The 9,050-nt window shown below is 36.0% G+C and overlaps 1 protein-coding gene across 2 annotated transcripts; it reads right to left on the bottom strand.

The window, feature by feature from the left end:
• GNGT1 (G protein subunit gamma transducin 1) lies at nt 1,698-6,396 on the bottom strand. Of its 2 annotated transcripts, none has more exons than NM_021955.5 (3): nt 6,319-6,396; nt 6,121-6,227; nt 1,698-2,173 (listed from the first exon to the last, which is right to left on the bottom strand). In NM_021955.5, the coding sequence occupies exons 2-3, from the start codon at nt 6,214-6,216 to the stop codon at nt 2,045-2,047; spliced, it is 225 nt and encodes a 74-aa protein (NP_068774.1). In that variant the 5' UTR covers nt 6,217-6,227; nt 6,319-6,396; the 3' UTR covers nt 1,698-2,044. The 2 variants fall into 2 exon arrangements, with proteins under 2 accessions (NP_068774.1, NP_001316355.1); NM_001329426.2 differs by having other exon boundaries at nt 6,121-6,224.

The following is a 9,050-nucleotide window of genomic DNA, read 5'->3' as shown; positions in this document are numbered from 1 at the left end:
GGAGTGGAGGGAGATTTCAGGTGGAGGGATCAGTATGACCAAATTCCAGATGGTGGGAAAATGTCCACGGGAAGTATAATAATAGAGGACATTTATTAGGCTTCCTTTTATATACCCATTTGTGATCTAAGGGATTACAAGTATTCAGATAATCTATCCTAATCACTAGTTTTATACAAAAAAAAAAAAAAATGTTCAAAGAGTTGAAGTCATTTGGTCATTTGTCCAAAGTTCTCAATGACAAGGTGGAAGAGTCGGGGTTTTAACTTCACATTGCTGGGCTTCAGAATCTGTCTCCAATGGTAAACTAAATGTCATAGCAAATATTTACTTTGTATTTATTTTAATCGGAGGAAAGGGGCCATACTGAACACTTCACTAAATAAATACTAATTTGCAGGTGGAAAACTTCTAGAGGCAAACCACAATTAAATAAACAAATAAATTGTAGTATGCCAGATGGTGACGGTGCTACGGAGGAAAATAGAGTGCGAGAGAGAGACAGGAATTGCTTGGTGGAGGTTGGGAGGACTGTATGGAGAGGGTTTTGTAAACTTAAATAGGAGGATAAAAAGCTTTTCTTGAGGAAAAATAGATAAGACATTCAGTAACTAATCCCAGAATCCCTTAATACTCAGAGCATATTTGATGAAGACACGTGGTGGGGTGTGTTGCTGACTCTTCAGCCAGAAGCCCAGAGTCTTGACTGAAGAAATTTGTCAGGTGACTTCTCTGAAACTTTATTTTCTCCATTTCAAAATGAAGAGTTTAGACAAGAGTCAACAGATATTTGTTGAGCATTTATGATGATCAGAGTGGGAGGGCATTGTGCTAGAAGCCAAACTTTGGTACAACTTTCAGACTCCCTTCCAGACCAAATAATAGATAATTTTAATGTTTTTTTTAAAGTGTGACAATCAATTAGTATTTCTGAGTATTCTGATCACTGAAGTATACAAAATAGCACTGTAAATGTGAGACAGCAACAAGAAAACACTGACCACAAAAGAGGTTTCTGGTTTAGGTAATTACAACTTGTCATTTGTTACAGAAGCAGAGGCAAGTTTTCTCTTAGTCATTAACACAATGGTAGTGAAATGTGACTCATGTAAACTCAATAGGATGCCAGAAGGACCTGATGTAGGGGATGGAGATTTCTCTCTCATGTGTGCTCACCTTGTTAAAGAAAAGACTGTGGTGTTGAGAGTCTTATGAGGATAGGGTAAAACATCATGTATCTTAAAGGATTTTGGAAATTTTGTCTAGATCCTTTCTCAGTAATAATACTAGTTAACACTTATTGTATCTTACCATGGGCCAGGTAATATGCTGAGTGTTATAGTTGCATTAGTGTATTACTTAACCCCTACACAAAACAGAAGATATAACCATTATTGTCTTCATCCTATGCTAGGAGAAACAAATTTAGAAAGAATTAAGTAGCTTATCCAAAGTGAGTTGGGCAGTAAAGTGGCAGAGCCAGAACTGTCTGGCTCCTAAGTGCATGCTTATAACCGTGATTCTGCTGCTGGTTAAATTCACCGTGCTCCGTGACCACAGACTGAACCCTCAACCCAGTTGGCATTCTGGGGAAAAGTCACAAGACAGTTGAACTGCATATCAGAAAAATAAGCTTCCTAATTCCTTAACCAAGAGAAAGTTTGGGAAACAAAATAGAAACTTAACCATACAATTTCTGGGTAGAAAATTGTAAGTGTTGAAAGGGAAGTGAAAAAACATAAAACAGTAAATATATGCTGACAACTCAGAATAATATAGAATCATTTATAAAACATAGTTCTTTTTAAAGAACTTTAAGCAATATTTATTGGCAATTATGTGTTAAACCCTGTGCCAGCTATGTTAAGAAAAACATAGAATGATGGGTTACCACACCCCAATTTTTATTAAAAGTTTACATCTATAAATTTAAAAATTCACGTACATGCTTAGTAGTAATAGTATGCATGAGAAAAATTCATATTGTTATTAACATTTGAGATATTTCCAAGAATTTGTTTAATTTTTTTTCTTTTTGTTTGTATTATGAAATCACACAGCCTCCTTTGAGCTCCTTGAAGGGATTTTTGTCCTCTGGGATGCCCTTTACCAGTGGATCCTCGCCAGATCGTTCTTCAACGTAATCTCTTACTTCTTCACAACATTTGGAAACCTTAAGGGGAAGGAAAAAGGGATGACTCATTTGGTTTAAAACAGAATACTCCAGATGCCAGGAATTTATTTATTACAATAAATTTTCAGGTTGTATAATTTCAGTTTGATTCTCTCTACTTTACACCAATGCATATTTACTTTGTAGGAAAGAAGAAAGTTGCACCCTTCCCACTCCTTCTGGATATATCTCCAGACAAAGGAAAAACAGCTGGCCACACTCCAGCTAAAGATTCCCAGCAGACACTGCCTCCAACATCAAAGGAGACAAGACCCAGGGTTCACAACACAGCTGGCAACAGAAGTCAAGGGTGTCACCAGAGTTCATATTGATTAAATCTTTTTCCTCATCCCAAAAATGTGACTAGTAAAGGTGGAGGAGAATGAATAATTATTAAATTCCTGGCTTATCACCATCCCTAAATTCTCAGAAGTATACACATGTAATTTTTCTTTACACTCATCTACAATGATTGAGCATGGTGGTGCACTAGGTGAGCTTCAAGGGGTCAGGGACCTTTGGCTGATTTGTTCAGTGTATCCCAGCCATCTAGAACAGAGGCTGTGTTCTTTAGTGCTCAGTGAATAATTTGCTGGACTGAATTATTCATGTTGTTTTTGAGCTTGCTCTTCACTTATCTGCACCATTATTGTTTAATGATTTAGTAAAAAATCAGGCCTTAATATTTTAATGGCTTCAGCTATAGCCTGTTAAGGTACCACTTAACATTCCTTGTAGAGAGAGGTGATGTTCTATACATATATAAATATACATATATATACATACACACGAAATCAAATTATTCAAACTCTTTTAGCTTCAACTTGTTTGTTTTCAGTTAGTGTATCTTTCATGACAGTAACACTAAGCTACTTTATTTTTGTCAGTCTATTAAGTGGCCATTCCATAAGTCATTTAACCAATTTACTGTTTTTTTTTTTTTCAAATGAAATCTTTAGTCCGCTTTTATGTAAATTCCAAGGAACATTTGATATAAGACTTAAGATTATTTTATAACTAGGCAGACTCATTAATTACATAGTAAAACAAATTATTTTCAACTGGAGCCAGGAAGCATTTGTCAGGTTAGTTTCTTCCTTCAAAGGATGATACTTGCAGATTCACATAACTTTTGAAATATGCATTAATTTAGATTCACTTTTTTCCCTCTTCCTCAGTGGTCCCACACTCTCTCTCTAAAAGTCACTACTTTTGGCTTCACCCAGATGACAGGAACAGAGGTGTAACTTGCTGTCCTTAATTCAGTAGTCCATAAGGGATTGGTTTTGAAGGTGCCTGGCTGGGATCTGAGGATATGAGAATGAAAGGAGCAACAAATTACCTAAAATTATATATGTGTATAGGTTTAAAAATTATTTCAGTGATGCTTAATATAAATATATGTAGTTTAACATAGGATTGCAAGACTCTTCTCATTTACTAGCTATTTAGTCTTAGTTAAGGTAATTCATCTAAGGTTCATTTACTTCATGTATAAAATATGAATAGCTGCATTGGTTGCCTTAAATGCCTAAGAGGTGCCTGGCACAAGAAGATGCACAATCAAATAGTAACTATTTTTAGCTATTACTACAAAGGTTGTCTTTAGTCATGGCCTATTACATTGACTTATAGTCATTGCAAATCTATCAGCTTCAGAAACTGGATGCAAAGACTTGTCGTACTCAAAAAAAATCACAATAATATGAATCAGTCTGGTTCATAGAATCAATAATAATTTTAAGATAATAATAATATAATGACATAAAGCACTTGCTATTACCAGGCATTGTTCTCAGAGCTTTGTGTATATTATCTTGTTTATTCCTCCCAATTATCCTCTGAATTAAATGCTATTACTATCGCTATTTTGAAGAAACAGAGGCACAGGTGAGTTAGATAACATAGATGAGGGTTGCACAGGCAAAAATTTGTTGTGGAGCAAGAATCTGAGCTGGGAATATGGTTTCAGAGTATATCCAATTAACCATACTGTACTGATTATCCACTTAACCACTTACCCATACTGAGTATATCCACTTAACCATACTGTACTGATTATACATCAGAGCTAGGGGCTCAGGACCTGGAAGTTCCATTTTATATATAATATAACATATTATTATATATTTTATAGAGAAATAATATTTCTATATATTACATACATATTTCTACACACTATATAAATTCATTTGTTGAACTCCTAACTCCCTCGGTGGGGTTTTTGGTAGGTAATTAGGTCATGAAGACAGAGTTCTCATAAATAGGATTACCGTCCTTATAAAAGAGACCCCAGAGAGCTTCGTCATCCCTATCACCAGGTGAGGACAAAATGAAAAGACAGGTGTTCATGAAGGAGGGAGCAGGCCCTCGCCAGACGCTGAATCTGCTGATGTCTTGATCTTGGATGCCCCAGCTTCCAGAGCTGTGAGAAATACATTTCTGTTGGTTAAAAGTCACCAGTCTATGATACTCTGGTACAGCACCCTGAGGAGACTAAGAGGGTACATGTATATGTATGTGTATCTATATGCATGTGTGTTTGTGTGTGTATGTATATGGAGTTTTTGCAGTCTGATATTAAATTGGTTTGACTTCCAAGAGCAGAGAGACATTGAATAATGGGGAAAAGGAACCCCAAAGCCTGATTAATGATGATGTATGCGATGTTTACCCAAAATAAAAAGTCCAAGGTGAACTTACCACAAGTGAATAATAAACACGAAGACAATCACCTTGCCTACAAAACAATAATCCTGAGTACATAAATAATAAAACAGCTTTTGGATATTTCAACTTAAGAAGAGAAAACTTTTCTTTATCCTAAAAGTTCATTTTATTTACCCTGAATTGTAAAAATAAGGACTTTAACTTGTCTGGTGTATGTTCTAAGCCTTAGTAATGATTTAATTTTATCTTTACAGCAAAACGTTTTGCCTGTATGGAAAGGGCAACAGGGGAGTTTGAGATTATTATAAACATAGACGAAGCCCAAAATCCCAGTTTTGACTGGGAGCAGGCATTTTGAACAAAGTATGAAGATAACACAAGATCCTTTTTTACTTTGTCCTGATAAAATGAGATGTTTTAAAATTATGAGATTGCTGTTACCACTTGTGGAGGTTTTGTTCTACTGTTAATAACTTTCCTAAAATGAAGTGATCTAAAATACATATCTACATTCTCCAAGCTTTCATCACTGTTTGTTTGGTGGTTTATTCCTTTGCCATTTCTTCTCCTTCTAATGGCAGTGAACTGTTGGTAACCCTTTCCAAGATTTGTCAGAAGTTTGTAGGAGGAACCAGTGAGTTCTTATGTTTGAACTCATCTTTATTTGCCAAAGAAGAGTAGAATGTACTTATGTATTACTGACCATGACAGTGGAGAGGGGTTGACATCATAGCTTAAAGTATTGCAGCAATATCAAAACATTGTATCAAAATATCAATATCAAAATATTGCATTATAAAAAGAAGTTTAGAAAAGTAAAAACAAAATGCCTATATTATTGCATGCGTATATTTATTTTATTGCTTATCTAAAATATGGTTTTTGTCTCATATTCTCCTTTTTCTCTTTTTCTTTTCTTTCTCTTTTATTTCTTTCTTTCCTTCTTTTTCCCTTTCTTTCTCTCTCTCTTCTTTCTCTCTTTCTTTCTTTCTTCCCTTCTCTTTAAAAATGAAAAAGCATTCTTATCTTTGTGGTCATACAAAAAGAGGCTAAGGATTGGGCTTGGCCAGAGGAAAATGGTTTGCCAACCTCCTTGATTTAGAATCTAAATCAAGAGATAGTTATGATTGATTATCAATTTTCTTAATCTTTGATAAATTTTTAGATGAACAATTTATTTGTAACTACATTGAGCCTTTCCAGCCAATGTTTTCTAACCTGGTACTCCCACAGTATCTCTAGCTTAAAATAAAATACTAAAGAAAGCAGCAACTTACTAGCATTCTTTCCAGTGTCACTTCTTTCTTGAGCTGGTCAACTTCCATCTTCAATTTGTCCTTTTCTGTCAGGTCCTCAATATTGATTACTGGCATCTTTTTGCCTGCTGAAGATGTAGAAGGTTAGCAGCTATGCATGAATTGCTGGAGTTATTTCAAGTCAGTCTTAGCCAACAATTCCCTCAGCTCTTAACTTACAAAGTAAACTGTTCTTTGTTTTATTTTAAATATCCCACGATAACCAATTTCATATGAGCTCTCTCTCTTAACAATTCTAGCAATGCACACTAGCCTTGGGATTTTAAAGCTTCTTCCTAATCTTCACTAATATGATTAAGTCAAGCATTTGACTCCAAACACCTGTTCAGCAGGTTTGTTGGGAGGGGTGAGTTTTGTCAGTATATAATCTAAAATACTTAAAGCGCCTCCTTGCCCCTGGTCTTTTGTATAGTGTAAAATTTGGGGTTTCCAATCCTTACTTTCAATTCCAAAACCCTCCACCTATGTTTTATGTCATTTAACTTAATTTGAGGTCATTTGGATGACGGTCCATTAATTCCCTAAATCTCTAGAGTATTTAACCTGGTATTAAAAGGGAACCATATAAAAAGTATCACTATAATTTCATTATAAATAATGGATTGTTTAAATGTGTACCCGTAGAATGGAAATATAGTAAACAGTCTTATTAATCAGAAATAAACTAGCGTATTACTTGTGAGCGTTTTTCCAACAACACATGAAATTTGCCTGTAACTGTCACAATGAATCTGGTAACAATGATGAGAAAATTTAGCAGGCTAAAGGGGACATAGCAAGTCTGATCTACCAATAACCTCCTACTAGAACAGACTCTTTCTTCTGCCCTCTTTGCAATTCCTCTTCTCCCCAATTAGACCAGTGAGTAATGGGGAAGAAGGCTCAATAGCTGGTGATAGTCCTATGAAATTGCCTGGGAAAGATTTCAGTGTAGCCAAATGGCATTGTACCTATAGTGTCTCCTCCTTCTCCCTAGTCCAATTTTTGTAATGAAGTATTATTATAAAAGTAAGTGTATATAGATCACATACTATTTCAGAGAACAAAATAACATTTTACATCTACATGAAAATACTCTGCTAATAATCTATCAGCAATTAACTTATTTCCTTGAATTTAAATGGTGTTTTCATTTCCAAAACCATTGAAGGAAGATTCTTTCCCTTCCCAGTCTTAAAATACCTTGTTTTTCTCCGGATAAGTAGTAGTTTAAGAATTTTTTTTTTTTTTTTTTTTTTTTTGAGTAGGAATTTCGCTCTGTCTCCAGGCTGGACTGAAGTGGCGCGATCTCAGCTCACTGCAACCTCCGCCTCCTGGGTTCTAGCGATTCTTCTGCCTCAGCCTCCTGAGTAGCTGGGACCACAGGTGCATGCCACCACGCCCAGCTAATTTTTTTATTTTTAGTAGAGGTGGAGTTTCACCGTGTTGGCCAGGATGGTCTCAAGTTTAAGATAATTTTAAGGGACAAATGTCTACATAGGCCAACATAGAGGTAGAAAATAACACACTGTGGGTACTTGAGCCCAATGTGTCCTATGTTTTTATTTTTGCTATTCTGTTCTTTAAGAAACACTATGACTATACAAAGGTTATTTCTTCCTGTATAAGCCTGTTTTGCATTTGGGAACCCAAATTTTATTCTCATCTTCCTTCCCAGTCTTTTAGACTAAATATAAAACTTCATTAAGTATTTTTGATGATCATTTTTACCTTTTGACATTGTTCTTTGCACAATTTTTCTTCATTTTGGAAAACTTTTAATTCCTTTAGGTAATGGCTCTTCACACTCCAGTGTGTGCAGAAATCACTTTAGGAAACTCGTTAAAGTTATGAGTCCAACCTTAGAGATTCTAATTTAGTAGATCTTGTGTTGGGTTTAGAATTTCATTTTCTCTATTCCAGGAAGCCCTCTCATATACTTACCAACAAAATAATCGTTTACTGGTACTTGCTAGCCATGTGACACTGACCAAATTACTTGACCTGCCTGTGCCTTAGTTTACAGGGAAATAGGGGCAATAATATTACCTACCCTGTAGATTTGTTGAGAGTATTAAATGGGGGTAACATAGGTAAGGACTTTGTAATGGCGTGTAGTACATAGCAAGCACTTGCACGTGTTAGCTGGTGTTATTCACTTTGTTGTGCTTCCAGAATTTCAAACTGTACTTTCTTATATGGCCCTTGCCATATAATGTATGTGATCTTATAGGTGCTCTAAAGAAGATAGGTGATATTACTGATACACTTAAAGGAGATCATGCGTACATAATTTGACTCCTTTAATATCATGCATTCCAGATGTTACTGCCCAGCTCTCCTTTTTTTCCAGGGTAAGATACCTAGTCCGCAGCAGCTGCAGGTGTTGACTGTCAAGGGCAAACCTTTTGCTCAGGTTGGCTCTTGTCTGATGGGCAACACTTTTCCTGATGATGCCTGGGAGATTATGCTCCCATCTGACCCCTGAGGTTGACTTGGAGCAAAAGGCTGGCTAATGTGGGGTCCTATCAGCCCAGCCCCCTTGCTTCTGGGCTGAAAAACTTTGTTGTAACTGAGAAACTTCCAGAGCCTTTCCATGGGTTTAGAATGATGCTAGACTTCTGAAACCACTTTTGACTAACTTCTCCTCTTGCCCTAGCCTTACTCCTCTAGCAGTTTCTCCTGAGAGCTTGCCCTGGAAAACTTTCTTACCCAATAATTCCTGTCTTAGGCTTTGCTTCTAGCAAACCCAACCGAAGACACAGTGAATTTTTAGAGCCTTTACAAGGGAGATCATACCTTGCATGACTTTTACGTCCTCATTACTTTCTATTGTTCTGTATATTGTTTGGTATATAGAAGAGATCAGGAAGTATTGACAAAGTCACCTAACCTATGTCATATGCATTTAC

Source organism: Homo sapiens, chromosome 7 (genome assembly GCF_000001405.40).
Source record: "Homo sapiens chromosome 7, GRCh38.p14 Primary Assembly".
In the NCBI taxonomy this organism is placed as follows: Eukaryota; Metazoa; Chordata; class Mammalia; order Primates; family Hominidae; genus Homo; species Homo sapiens.
Note: the sequence above shows the minus strand (reverse complement) of the source record. Positions and strands in the feature narration are given on the sequence as shown.